The sequence below is a fragment of the Homo sapiens genome, chromosome 2 (genome assembly GCF_000001405.40).
Source record: "Homo sapiens chromosome 2, GRCh38.p14 Primary Assembly".
NCBI classification, from domain to species: Eukaryota; Metazoa; Chordata; class Mammalia; order Primates; family Hominidae; genus Homo; species Homo sapiens.
In genome coordinates this window covers 189,941,714-189,957,081 of record NC_000002.12, presented here as the reverse complement: position 1 = coordinate 189,957,081, position 15,368 = coordinate 189,941,714, and the positions used below count along the sequence as shown (strand labels likewise).

At 37.9% G+C, this 15,368-nt stretch overlaps 1 protein-coding gene across 2 annotated transcripts in view, besides 1 other annotated feature; it reads right to left on the bottom strand.

The window, feature by feature from the left end:
• Positions 1–15,368, bottom strand: part of AKAP19 (A-kinase anchoring protein 19) — a 323,923-nt gene that overhangs the window by 246,403 nt on the left and 62,152 nt on the right. The gene's annotated exons all lie outside the window — the stretch shown is intronic.
• Positions 3,863–3,932: an enhancer, noted in NCBI's record as "active region_16858". NCBI's record gives its function as "activates an Ori minimal core promoter by ATAC-STARR-seq in GM12878 lymphoblastoid cells {active_cell/tissue: GM12878}" and the evidence as "EXISTENCE:reporter gene assay evidence [ECO:0000049][PMID:35858748]".

Here is a 15,368-nt window from a genome sequence, read left to right as displayed (position 1 = left end):
TCCTCAGCCTCCTGAGTCACTGGGACTACAGGCGCAGGCCACCATACCCAGTTAATTTTTGTATTTTTAGTAGAGACAAGGTTTTACCATATTGGCCAGGCTGGTCTTGAACTCCTGAACTCGGAATTAAATTTAATAACTGAAAGCATGTCTGATATTCTTCAAGCTGAATTGAAATTATCATAAAAATATTAACACTGGCCAGGTGAGGTAGCTCACACTTGTGATCCCAGCACTTTGGGAGGCCAAGATGGGAGGATCACTTAAGGTCAGGAGTTTGCCACCAGCCTGGACCACATAGTGAGACTCCATCTCTACCACAAATTAAAAAATTAATTAGTCAGACATGGTTGTGTGTGCCTGCAGTCTTAGCTACTCAGGAGGCTGAGGCAGGAGGATTGCTTGAGCCTAGAAGTTCAAGGCTGCAGTAAGCCATGATTGTGCCACTGCACTCCAGCCTGGGCAACAGAGTGAGACCCTATCTCAAAAAAAAATTAATATGTTCTTATATGTATATGATGTAAATCTGTGATTTTATTATAGTGCAGCACTAGTTTTTTCATGTTTGTATATAAGATTTGGGAGTCTAAGTGCTCTTGAAAATATACTAGTAGGCCGGGTGCGGTGGCTCACGCCTGTAATCCCAGCACTTTGGGAGGCCGAGGCGGGCGGATCACGAGGTCAGGAGATCGAGACCATCCCGGCTAAAACGGTGAAACCCCGTCTCTACTAAAAATACAAAAAATTAGCCGGGCGTAGTGGCGGGCGCCTGTAGTCCCAGCTACTTGGGAGGCTGAGGCAGGAGAATGGCGTGAACCCGGGAGGCGGAGCTTGCAGTGAGCCGAGATCCCGCCACTGCACTCCAGCCTGGGCGACAGAGCGAGACTCCGTCTCAAAAAAAAAAGAAAAAAAAGAAAATATACTAGTAAAAATAAGTTCAAAGATTTGAGCATTATCATTTGAAAATGACCCATTGTTCTTAAATATTTTTTGATAATCTTTAAATAAACTGTGGATCCTGTTATTTCCAAAATAGAGAAGCATATGCGAATATCTGTTCTTACACCCAAATTTAGAACATAAAACTTACAATTTTTGGTGAAGGCAAAAAAACCCAGAAAAAACAAATGGCTAAACAATAATATTCACTGTGACTTAGATCAGTTTTATGTTAATTTTCTGAGTTATCTTAACTTTTAAGATATTTATATTGGATTTGGTTTTTAAACAACCCTGAGTGAGATGACTTAGCAAAAATACAAATCTTTTTTGAAACTTCTCTTCCCACTTTGTCACATGATGGTGTTTATGGTAAATTTTGTGTTCTTAAATTACATCCCAATAAGAATTTGCTCGCTCAATATCACTAATCATCAGAGAAATGCAAATTAAAACCACAATAAAATATCATCTTACACCAGTCAGAATGGCGGTTATTAAAAAGTCAAAAAACAGTAAACATTGGTGAGGATGCAGAGAAAAGAAACACTTATATACTGCTGGTGGAAATGTAAATTAGTACAACCTCTATGGAAAACAGTATGGAGATTTCTCAAAGAACTAAAAATACAGCTACCATTTGACCCAGCAATTCCACTACTGGGTACCTACCCAAAGAAAAAGACATCATTGTATCAAAAAAATCTGTACTTGTATGTTTATCACAGCCCTATTCACAATAGCAAAGTCGTGGAATCAAGTTAAGTGTCCATCAATGGATAACTGGATTTTAAAAGTATGGTATACATATATACCATAGAATACTAGCAAAAAAAACAAAAAACAAAAACAAAATACGAAACAAGAAAGAAAGAACGTCTTTTACAGAAACACAGATGCAACTAGAGGCCATTATCCTTGGTGAAATGACTCAGGAAGTTAAAAACCACATGTTCTCACTTATAAGTGGAAGCTAAACAACGGGTACATGCAGACATACAGAGTAAATAATGAACACTGGAGACTCCAAAAGGTGGGAGGGTGGGAGGCAGGTACAGATGAAACATGATCCTATGGAGTACAATGTACACTATTTGGGTGATGAGTACACTAAAAGCCCAGCATTCACCACTATGCAATATATCCATGTAACACCACTGTACTTGTACCCCTAAGTCCATAAATAAAAAATATTTTTTTAAAAAAGAATTTGCTAACTGAATAGTTTAAAGATAAACTTTTTAGAGGTCAAAGATATTGGGCATGTAAATATTGTGGTAATTTAAACATCAGTAGTATGCAAAAATGTACAACTGCCTGGTCTAATTCTGAGCAAGGATGCAGAGATCATTTTTGCTGATAAATGAATATCAGAAAAGTCACTGATGGTCAATAAAACTGCAGTGTTCCAAATAAATTACTCTGACATATGCCAACAAATGTTGGGAAAAAATTAGTCACTTATGATAAAAATGATGCAAAAATGTGTTAGTTGTAACATAGTTTTAAATATATATAACATTCAAACATAATGTGATTTAACCCATTTATGCCTGAGGTTGCAATTTTTTGAATTTTTACAGTCAGACCTTGGTGATGACCTTGAGCAGTAGGATATAAATGACTCCCACATGCTTAGCATTCCATTAATGGAACACTAGGCATATTAATGTGTATGTATTTGTAAGACTTCTTATATAAACATGTCACCAAACCAGAAGAAGTTTGGTCATATCACATGTTCTGATCTTATCATATGTTCTGATCTTATCATATGTTCTGATCTTTTCATTTGCAAAATATAGTTACCATAAATTTAAGTAAACAGTGTGTGTACATATGCAAATTTATCATAATGCCACTTAGAATCTATTGTGTAAGGATGTGGATGCATTAAACAATTTTCTTATGAGAAAATAGCTGTTTTCTTATAATCTGATAAAGTAGGTGTGCCACTTGTTTATACCAACAGGGTAAGAAAAAAGACTTGCGGAATGTTTCTTTGAGAAATACCTGATCTGGATTGTATCTCTTTCCTTCTCTTTCTCCTTCTCTTGCCTTCCCACTGACAGGGATTCCCCAACCTTGATGTTCATTTTACTACTACATCTTCACTTGACCTGTCTGGCTCAACATACATCCTCATCTCTTTCAACTATCAGCTTGACTTCTTTTCTCTCTGACAATGTTTTCATGTTGGCAATACCCTTGCAGGCTTCATTCATTCATTCAATCAATATCATAAACAATAAACAAACAAAAGATGCAGCTTAGTGGTTAAGAGGTGGACTCCAATGCCAGACAGCTTAAGTTTGTATCTTGGTTCTACCAGCTGTTAGCCATTAGAACTTGGGAAAATCACTTAACTTACGTGCATCAATTTCCTCATCTGTAAAAATGAGGTGATATTGATACTGTACTAACAATATCACCTCATAGATTGTTGGGAGAAATGAATGAATCAATATATCTAAAAGTCTTTGTTTTTTTTTTTTTTTTTTTTTTTTTGAGATGGAGTTTCACTCTTGTCACCCAGGCTGGAGTGCAATGGTGCAATCTGGGCTCACTGCAACTTCCGCCTCCAAGGTTCAAGAGATTCTCCTGCCTCAGCCTCCTGAGTAGCTGGGATTACAGGCATGCACCACCATGCCTGGCTAATTTTGTATTTTCAGCAGAGACAGGGTTTCACCATGTTGGCCAGGCTGGTCTCAAACTCCTGACCTAGGTGATCTGCCCATCTTGGCCTCCCAAAGTGCTGGGATTACAGGTGTGAGCCACCATGCCCGGCCTATATCTAAAAGTCTTATAACAGTGCTCAATATGTACTAAGAATCATATAACTGTCAGCTGATTTTATTATTAATCTTATTATTATCATTATTTGAGCACCTATATGCCAACCACTCTACTACATATTCGGATTATATTAGTGAACTCGACGGACAAGGCCTTGAGTAAAGCCCTTTTAGATGCAGCCTGTCCCCACTTTCCCTATTGCAGACTTGTAAGTGGGCCCTGAACAAAAATCTGGCCAGGGATGTTATCACATTTAACAATAGGCACCAAAATTACTAAACCAGCAAGAAAAGACACAATCCCTACAACTGGCATAGATAACAAAAGCCACCTGACCTCCTATTTTTAATTTCTGTTGATATTACCATAATCTTGTTCTGTTTTGTTTAACTCTAGTTCTCACTTCCCCCTTTCCATCACTACAGTCTGCAATTTTCAAGTCCTAAATGAGTGTAACTGAAAGTAACTTATTTACAAAGAAGATTCATGATCATTATAGTTATATAAGAACCAATTCATTAAATAGCCAAAATAAAAAGGAAACACCCTCAGACTATACATTCAAAGTTATCGAAGATGTGATCAAAAAATAAGTAGAAGTTCTTAAAAGGATACGTCACATGTAATTCTCCTACAGTTGCACACAGTAAGTGCAGTAGAAGTATCCTGTTTCAAAATGATCATAAAAGCAACTGTAACAGAATATTTTTAGATATTGAAACGTTGATCTTTTTACTCCCCATTGTTAACTTTCTTTTACCATTTCTCCTAATTTATAAATATTGTTCTCATATAGGAGAACAGATAAAACCTAAAATAAAAGAGCTAAATTCTTGCTTAGAATTCCAAAATAAGATCTTCATAATATGACTTCTATTTCTAAGATCTAGGTACTCATTCAAGGAGAAAAAAAAAATGATATGATTTTGTTTCAGTTCCAAAAAGGTCTGGTTTGGAAGACTGGAAGCTCAAGCTGTGTGAAGTACCATTGACCAGCTTAAGGCAGGAGACGAAATAAGCCCCTTTCTTGTATAGGGGAGGAAAAACTTTCTTCTACCCTCTTAGGTTCTGTGGCTGGGCCTGAGAATTAAACTAACATAAGACAGAGTAACAGGGAAAAAGCATACAAGTTTTATTTAATATTTTTACATGCATGGGAGCCCTCATAAGGAAAATGAATGTCTGAAAAAGCAGTTAGGCTCAAAAGTGTGTATACCTTTTAAAACAAAGAATGATAAATTGTGAGGATACAAGACAAAGGGTATTAGGCTAGGGGCAGTACATTGTGAGGCAGTGACCAGGAAATATATGGGGGAAACCAGTGGAAGATAAGGATTGTTTTCAGTTTGTGTAGTTTGTTTGTTTAGTTCTCTTTTGGCAGTAACTCCCAGTCTCCAGTGTTAAGAATGTTCTTCTATTCCTGGTTCAGGAAGAACACTTTTCTCATGGGAAATTTTATAACCTGCTTTTAGATAAGAACATTTGAGAGGTCACAGAGTTCTTCCTGCATTTGCTATTTCTCGAGTGCCTTCAGCTCAAAATAATTCTTATGCCAGAGTGACATATTTTGGGGTGGCATATTCTGATCTCCTATACTTGCCTTCAGCAAATGCTATTCTAAAACGAAGATGAGCTAAATGATTCTCTAACTTTAGACTTTTAGGTATTGGAAGAGTGAAGAAATATTTTTAGGACAATGAAAATAGGTAATGGCTATTGTGTTGACCCATACCTCTACTTCCTTATTTGAAAGCTTTAGATTTGGCTTTCAAAGTACTTAAAGCATTTACCAACTGATGAAAGGGAAGAAAACAGTGCCACAAAGATACTGAAGAGGAAGATTCAGCTGGGCGCAGTGGCTTACATCTATAATCCCAGCACTTTGGAAGGCCAAGGTGGGCGGATTACTTGGTGTCAGGAGTTCGAGACCAGCCCTGGCCAACATGGTGAAACCCCGTCTCTACCAAAAATACAAAAATTAGCCGGGTGCGCTGGCACATGCCTGTAATCCCAGCTACTTGGGAGGCTGAGGCAGGAGTATTGCTTGAACCTGGGAGGTGGAGGTTGCAGTGAGCCAAGATCGCATCATTGCACTCCAGCCTGGGGGAAGATGCAAGACTCTGTCTCAAAAAAAAAAAAAAAAAAAAAAAAAGGAGGATTCAGAGAACTAAACTAAGGTTTCTTCTATTGAAGTAGAGGGAAAAAACCTAATACTGGTACTAGGAAGTCTGATTTGATTGTCACAACAGAATGGTGGAAGAGGTCTGAGGTAATACCTCCAAACCCAACCCCAAAACTTCCCTTATCTCCAGGAAAGTGCAGAAACGATCCAGAAAAATTCCCCATATTCTGCTACTACCCCCACCCCAACCCTCCAGGCATGAAAGAAAGTTGAAAATTAAGTCAGTACACTAGCCAGGGATTTATTCTAATAACAGGGATAGAGAGCCAAATGGCAAAGGTTGGTAAGTGGGCAGCCCTAAACCAAGAAGGGACCTAGTTAACAGGAGGAAATAGTTGAGATCTCAATCCTTTTCTCAATGGCAGGACAAGATGTAAAGTCTTTGGGGGAACTTAAGTCATTAGTGGGAAGAAAAGTAATGTAAAATAGAGGAGAACTCTATGTATTTATATACATAGGCAATATACTTATCTCTCATATCTACATGTCTTGGAATATTTGTTTATGTAGTGTGATGACTTTAGAAAATATAAACAAAGGCTAGCTTTTAAAAGTAATAATTAAGATGTAAATTGTTGCTCTTTGGTGGTCTTCCTTAATCTTTTTCAGACCCTGAAGGCTTTCTACCATTAGCCCCTCTCTTACTTTCAGCAAAGGTGACACTAAAGACTAAGATAAGCCTGGTCTGAAGGTAGAGACTTATCCTAATCCTAATTGACTCTTCACAATCAGTTAACAGATTGAACTCCTTATTCTTCTCTTGCTCCCATGTTCACTACTGCACCTAAGGTTCATTACCTAACCTTAAAAAAAAAAACAAAAAAAAAAAACAAAAAAGGCTGGGCGCCATGGCTCACGCCTGTACTCCCAGCACTTTGGGAGGCTGAGGCAGGCGGATCATCTGAGGTTAGGAGTTCGAGACCAGCCTGGCCAACATGGTGAAACCCCATCTCTACTAAAAATACAAAAATTAGCCGGGCATCATGGCAGGCACCTGTAATCCCAGCTACTTGGGATGCTGAGGCAGGAGAATCACTTGAATCTGGGAGATGGAAGTTGCAGTGAGCTGAGATCTTGCCATTGCACTCCAGCCTGGGGACAAGAGCGAGACTTCATCTCAAAAAAAAAAAAAAAAACCCAAAACCAAAAAACTAAGATAACATGATTGATTCTGTAACTTTAGACTTTCAAACCTTGGAAGAGTTACATTTCAGGACACTTAAAAGTAGGTAACAGGCCAGGCGTGGTGGCTCACGTCTGTAATCCCAGCACTTTGGGAGGTCGAGGCAGGTAGATCACGAGGTCAAGAGATTGACACCATCCTGGACAACATGGTGAAACCCCATCTCTACTAAAAGTACAAAAATTGGTTGGGCATGGTGGCATGCACCTGTAGTCCCAGCTACTCGTGAGGCTGAGGCAGGAGAATCACTTTAACCCGGGAGGCGGAGGTTGCAGTGAGCCGAGATTGTGCCACTGCACTCCAGCCTGGTGAGAGTGAGACTCATCTCTAAAAAAAAAAAAAAAAAAAAAGAAAGAAAAAGTAGGTAACAACTATTGGGTTTACCTATGCATACATAATTGACCCTTGAATAACACAGATTTGAACTGTGTAGATCCACTTATATCTGGATTTCTTTTTTCCTTTTTTTTTTTCTTTTTTTGAGACAGAGACTCTGTCACCCAGGCTGGAGTGCAGTAGCCTGATCCCAGCTCACTGTAACCTCAGCCTCCTGAGTAGCTTGGATTACAGGTGCCCGCCACTGTGCCTGGCTAATAGAGATGAGGTTTCACCATCTTGGTCAGGCTAGTTTTGAACTCCTGACCTCGTGATCCACTCGCCTTGGCCTCCCAAAGTGCTGGGATTACAGGTGTGAGCCATCGCGCCCGGCTTTTTTTCTCAATAAAAACAGTCAGCACTCCACATCTACGGGTTCTGCATCTGCAACTGAAGGCAGATGGAAAATGAGGTATTTGTCTGATGTGAAACCCGCAGATACTGAGGGCCGGCTTTTTGTATACTTGGTTTTCACAGGATTGTGGGACTTGAGTATGCAAAGATTTTGCTGTCTGCTGGGAGGTGGGGGATGCCCTGGAACCAATCCTCATTGTGAATACTGAGGGACAACTGTATTTTCCTACTTCCTAGATTAGGCCTTCAAAGTACTTTAAGCGTTTAGCAAAGGATTAAGAGTTAAATGTAAAATAAAACCACATAAGAACTAGAAAAACAAAACAAAAATCACAAAAGAACTTAAAAAAAAAAGTTTAAATACCTACATAATCTTGAGGTGAAAGGTCTTTCTAAGCTGAATACCAAAACATATAAATAAGAAAAAAAAATGATTTTACTAAATAAAAATTGAAAATTTGTATGACAGGAAAAAAGTACCACAAATAAGTGTCACAGGACTTTGTTATGTATACGCTATATATATGTTGACATGTTATGTATGTCTGACATAAAAGAACACTTAAAAATAAGCTAAAAAATTAAGACCCTAATAGAAAAAGTCATAAGGCAATTGATAAAGTGGCGCTATAAGTTTAATGTAGTAACATAGACAGACATGGTCCTACCATGTTTATGGGGGTGGATGTACATACATTGTTAAAAAATAGAGCCTAGAAGAGACAGACTGAAATGTTCACAGTGGGTAATGCAGGGGAGCAAAACTGTGGGTAATTTTTATTTTGTTCTCCAAATTGCCTGAAGTTTTTCAGGGAGGTACACGTTACTGTACTAAGGAAAAAACTATTTTTTAAAAAGCTAAGTGTAAAAATTAAATGCAAAAAAAACAGGCATATGTCCTCTAAGCTAAACAGAGACAAAGAAAATTATTCTTCTCATCTGAATCTCATTTTCAGAATCTGTAACAAGGCTTGGTAAAAATGATTTTTAATATTTGTGAATTAATTTTTTGACCCTCTAAGAAGTTAAAATGAATTAATTTCTTTCTTATTAACTTTCAGAATACCATTTGCTAGTACATGAAGAATGCTATACATTTTTAATTCTCCCAACATATAGAAATTAAGTCAACATTAATAAAGTAATTAGTACACTGCCTACAATGTACTTACCGCTGTGATAAGTCTCACAGGAGGTAAACAAATGTACTTATTATACGTTAAATATTTCATGATTCAAATTTTCCACCAAGTTAGACTGGCATAGCCCAACACTGATGATGAATTTGGTAAAGCTGTTTGTCAAGAATCTTAGTAACATAAACCTATTGCTTCAAATTTCCATGTAACAAAAAGATAATATTATTGGTCTGCCATCAACAAAGTATGTGCTTTTGAATAATAGGTTTATTCTTCACATAGATTTGAAAACTCTGGTTAGAATCGGAAATCACTAAAAGTCAGCTAGAGTGGTTAGAATTAGAAATCACCAAGAGTAATCTATATGGGTTACAGATTTAACCCATATAAGGTTAATCCATACATAATCCATATAGGGTTAAATATATTATTATCACTTAATAATGATGATGATATACAACTTTTTTTGAGTGTTTATGTTCCATGTACCATGCTAAATAATTATTATCATCATTTAATTGCCGAGGAAATTTAAGCTTAGAGATTATGCAGCTAGCCCAAGATCACATCCAGTATTGGGATTCAAACCTGCATCTTTCTGGTGACAAAGTGTCATTATTGCCTTTTCATTAAATATTTTATAAATTTAGTTACTAGTGCTAGAATAAATGGAAATAATTTAAGCACTAGTGAAATAGTTTAAAATTGTATACTTATAAAAATGATTTGACTACCTAATAATCCATGTATGAAAACTATTCAGTGCCAACGATGTGAAAAAATATAAAATAGCCATATATCAAGCCAAAGAAATGGGTGGGTTATTTCCATTCTTTTATGTGCAAATGGAATAGGATGGAAATTAAGAGAGCAAACTGATCTTCTTTCTGTTACTAGTTCTTCATATGGGCTAAAACGAAAACCCAATTGTTGGGTCTAATAGTGCACTGTTAAATTTGCTAACTTTTAGGAATAAAAGAAAAATTTATCAGTGCTAGGCACTTTTGTGTTTGCTCACTTAATCCTTAATGAACAATTTCATAAGACAGATATTTTCACTCCATTTTGAAAAAAGAAAGAAATGAAACTGAGGCTTAGAAAGTTTGAACAACTTATATATGGCCGATAAGTGACAAAGCTGAGATTTGAATCTAGGTCTAAATGATCCCAAAGCTGCACTAAGCATAGGCTAATGTCAGTGTAGGAAAGCACAATTTGAAAATAATGAGCTAAATTTTAAAATAATTTTTATGTGTACTGATCACTGATTACTACTCTTATGTAACTATATATCAGGGAAAGCTAGCTTTCTGGTATGAAATGCAAAACCAAAGAATAAAAGCATTTGAAAAAGTATAAAAACATTTGTTTTAAAATCTTTATTTGAAGATTTAAGAAAGAAATATATTCCTATGACACATGTACCTATTTACTGTGACTAAAAATCTAGTAATCTAAGAGATAACTTCAGATAATTTCAGAATTTGGGGACTAAAAATGTTTTAATGGCTAAAAGGAGAAACAGGAAGTTCAAGTGTCTAAAAATCATATTATTTTTCTTTTTTTGGTACTACAATGTTCCAATGCTACTTTCAGGTCGTTAAACTCTTAAATATACTTGTTTTTAAAACTAGGGTCATAGGAAAGCACTAAACTTTAAGAAAAAAATTTCTAGAGGCAGGGCCTATGTTGCTCAGGCTCATATTGAACTTCTGGCCTCAAGTAATCCTCCCACCTCAGCCACCCAAGCCATTGGGATTATAGGCATGAGCCTGCTCCCAGCTTTAAACTTCTATCTTTGAAGTTTCATAGTACCTAAGAGATAGATTCATATAAGATCAGAAACAAAAGTATCTTTTAACGCTGTATTTATGCTATTTTACGCTATATATTATAATCCCCTAATCCTTTAGGGTTCTAATTCATACAATCAAGGATTCTGAAGTTAAGACCACCTAGTCTAATAACTTCACTTTTATAAAGGAAGAAATTTATAAAGTATCCTGGGAAGTTTGAGTAATTTCTCCATGATAGTTTTGTGAATTTGTGCTGGAGTGGAGACTGAACCCTAGCTTCCTTGATATAAAGTCCAAAACTTGTTACATTATACCATCATACTTTCTTCATTTATCTCCATTTTTGAAAGTGTCAAGTAGCAACTATAGTATGTTTAAACCCTGAGTTCTCAAGCAAACAGTTCAGAAGTCCCCACTCTTCTACTGGAGAAATTAGTCCAGACATATATGTAGAGCAATGACTACTTAATATTAACTTAAATGTACACTGGCCAGGTAGGTATAACTTCAGAATAAATAGTCTCCTGATGAAAGAGGTGCAGATTATTAGTTGCCATAACTATAACATAACATAAAGGACCCCTGGAAGTACTTAAAACAATGATAATAACATATTTGAATGCCAATCTATAATTTACAATGTAATTTCACATATTTTCTTCACTCATGGTCTCAATCAAGCTTTTAAAAAATTCATTCTATTGAGGTATAATTTTAAAACAAGAAACTAAAGTACATCCATTTAAAGCAAATAGTTTGAAGAGTTTTTTAGTCTTTGGCTTTATAATCAGTTTTTGTGAATAGGAATTCAGGAATGACTTAGTTGGGTGACTCTGGCTTCAAGTTTCTTATGAAGTTGTAATTAAGCTGTCAGCCAGGGTCTAAAGTCATCTGAAGGCTTGAATGAGGCAGTGGGGTTTGCATCTAAGATGGCTCACTCACCTGGCTCTTGGCAGAAGGCACCAATTCTCTGCTGGCTATTGGCCTTTAGTTTCTAGCCACATAGACCTCTCCATAAGGCTGCTTCTGAACTGTTTTGTTTTGTTTTGGTCTCAGTTACATTTATTTCTGCTCTGATCTCTATTATTTCTTTCTTTCTACTAGTTCTGAGTTTAGTTTGTTCTTGCTTTTCTAGTTCCATGAGGTGCATTGTTGGTTTGTTGATTTGAAGTCTTTCTACATTTTTGATATAGGATCTTATTGTTATAAACTTCCCTCTTAGTACTACTTTTGCCGTATCCCATAGATTTTGGTATGTTATGTTTCCATTTTCATTTATTTCAAGAAATTTTTTAATTTCCTTAATTTCTTCATTGACCATTTGGTCATTTAGGAGCATATTGTTTAATTTCCATGTGTTTTCATACTTTCTAACATTCATTTTTTTACTGATTTCTAGTTTTATTCCATGGTGGTCAGAAAAGATACTTGATATGATTTCAATATTTTTGAATTTGTTGAGATTGTTTTATGGCCTAAGATATGGTCCATTCTGGAGAATTTTCCATGTGTTGATGAAAACAATGAGTATTCTGCAGCATTTGGGTGAAATGTCCTGTAAAGGTCAGTTAAGCCAATTTGGTCTAGTGTGTAGTTTAACTTTGATGTTTGTTAATTTTCTATCTGGATGATCTGTTCGTTAATGATAGTGGGGTGTTAAAGTCCCCTATTATTGTTGTATTGCAATTTATCTTTCTCTTTAGATCTATTAATGTTTCCTTTATATACCTGGGAACTCTGGTGTTGGGTGCATATATATTATTATATCCTCTTGCTAAATTGATCTTGTATTAGGCTGTTCTTGCACTGCTATAAAGAAATACCCGAGGTGGGATAATTTACAAAGAAAAGAGGTTTAATTGGCTCACAGCTCTGTAGGCTTTATAGGAAGCATAGTGTTGACATCCGTTCAGCTTCTAGGGAGGCCTCAAGAAGCTTACAAACATAGTGGAAGGCAAACGGGAACAGGTACATCACATGGTGAAGCAGAAGCAAGAGAGAGAGTAGGAGCAGGAACACTTTTAAATGACTAGATCTCATGAGAGCTCACTATCACAAAGACAGCACCAGGCCTTCATGGATCCACCCCTATGAGCCAAACACCTACCACCAGGCCCCCGCTCCAGCATTGGGGATTACAATTCAACGTGAGATCTGGGCATGGACAAATATCTAAACTATATCACTCTGCCCCGGCCTCTCCCAAATCTTATGTCCGTCTCACACTGCAAAATACTAGCCCGCCTTGTATGCATTCCCAATAGTCCCCTAAAGTCTTAATTCATTCCAGCATTAATGCAAAAGTCCAAAGTCTCTTCTGAGACAAGGCAAATCCCATCTACCTATTAGCCTGTAAATTAAAAACAAGTTAGTTACTTTCAAGATACAATCGGAGGTATAAGCACTGAGTAAACATTCCCATTCTAAAAGGGAGAAATCAGCCAAAAGAAAGGAGCTACAGGCTCCACGGAAGTTCATAACGCTGCAGGGCAGTCATTAAATCTTAAAGCTCCAAAATAATCTCCAGTGACTCCATATCCCACATCCAAGGCAAACTGGTGCAAGGGGTGGGCTCCAAAGGCCTTGGGAGCTCCACCTCTGTGGCTTTGCAGGGTTCAGCCCCCATGGCTGCTTTCAAGAGCTGGTGTTGAGTGCCTGCAGCTTTTCCAGGTTCAGGGTGCAAGCTGCTGGTGGATTTACCATTCTGGGGTCTGGAGGACAATGGCCTCCTTCTCACAGCATCACTGGGCAGTGTCCCATTGGGGACTCTGTGTGGGGGCTCCAACCCCACATTTCCCCTTGGCACTGCTGTAGTAGAGGTTCTCTATGAGGGCTCTGCCCCTGAAGCAGGCTTCTGCCGGGACACCCAGGGTTTCTCATACAGCCTCTAAAATCTAGGCAGAAGTTGCCAAGCCTCATTCACTCTTGCACTCTATGTGCCTACAAGCTTAACAACATGTGGAAGCTGCCAAGGGTTATGGCTTGCATACTCTGAAGTAGCACCCTGAGCTGTACCAGGGGCCCTTTGAACCAAAGCTGAAGCCAGAGTAGCTGGGATGCAGGGAGCACTGTCCTGAGGCTGTGCAGAGCAGCAGAGCCCTGGTCCTGGCCCAGAAAACCATTCTTTCCTCCTAGGCCTCTGGGCCTGTGATGGGAGGGGCTGCTGTGAAGGTCTCTGAAATGTCTTTGAGGCCTTTTCTTCATTGTCTTTGATATTAGCACTTGGCTCTCTTTTAGCTGCATGAATAACTGGCAAGTGGTTGCTCCACAGCCTGCTTGAATTCCTCTCCTGAAAAAGCTTTTTCTTTCTCTGCCACAGGGCCAGCATGCAAATTTTTCAAACTTTTATGCTCAGCTTCCCTTTTAAATATAAGTTCCAACTTTCAGTCATTCCTTTGCTCCTACATCTGAGCATAGGCTGTTAGAAGCAGTAAGACCACATCTTGAACCTTTTGCTGCTTAGAAATTTCTTCTCCCAGATACCCTAAATCATCACTATGAAGTCCAAACTTCCACAGATTCCTACGGCATGAACAGAATGCAGTCAAGCTCTTTGCTAAGGCATAACACATATGACTGCCTTAGTTCCCAATAAGTTCCTCATTTCCATCTGAGATCTTAGCAGCCTGGACTTCATTGTCCATATCACTTTCAGAATTTTGGTGACAAAAATTTAATCAGTGTCTAAGAAGTTCCAAACTTTCCCTCATCTTCCTGTCTTCTTCTGAGCCCTCCAAACTCTTCCAACCTCTACCTGTTACCTAGTTCTGAAGTTGTTTCCACATTTTGAGGTACCTTTATAGTAAAGCCCCACTTCTGGTACCAATTTTCTGTGTTAGGCTGTTCTGCTATAAAGAAATAGCTGAGACTGGGTAATTTATAGAGAAAAGAGATTTAATTGGCTGATGGTTCTTCAGGCTTTACAGGAAGCACAATGCTAGCATCTGCTTGGCTTCTAGGGGAGCCTCGGGAAGCTTACCATCATGGCAGAAGGCAAAGGGAGAGCAGGCATATCACGTAATGAAACAGGAGCAAGAAACAGAGTTGAGTGGGGAGGTGACACACACTTCTAAATGCCCTGATCTCATAAGAACTCACTAGCATGAAAACAGTACCAAGCCATGAGGGATCTGCACCCATGATCCAAACCTTTCCACTAGGCCTCCCCGCCAGCATGGGAGATTATAATTCAACATGAGATTTGGGCAGAGTCAAAACTATATCAGATCCCTTTGTCATTTTATAGTGACCCTCTTTGTCTCTTTTGACAGTCTTTGATTTGTAGTCTATTTTATCTAAATTTAGCTCCCCCTGCTCTTTTTTGGTTTCCAGTTTCATGGAATACTTTTTTTCCATCCCTTCACTTTCAGTCTATGTACATCTTTATAGGTGAACTGGGTTTCTCATAGGCAGCATATAGTTGCATCTTGTTTCTTTATCCATTTAGACACTATGACTTTTAATTGGCAAATTGAGTCCATTTATATTCAGTGCTATTATTGATAAGGACTTACTATTGCCAATTTGTTGTTGATTTTCTCATTGATTTGTAACTCCTCTCTTCTTTTCTTCCTGTCTTCCTCTGTGGTTAAGTGATTTTTCCT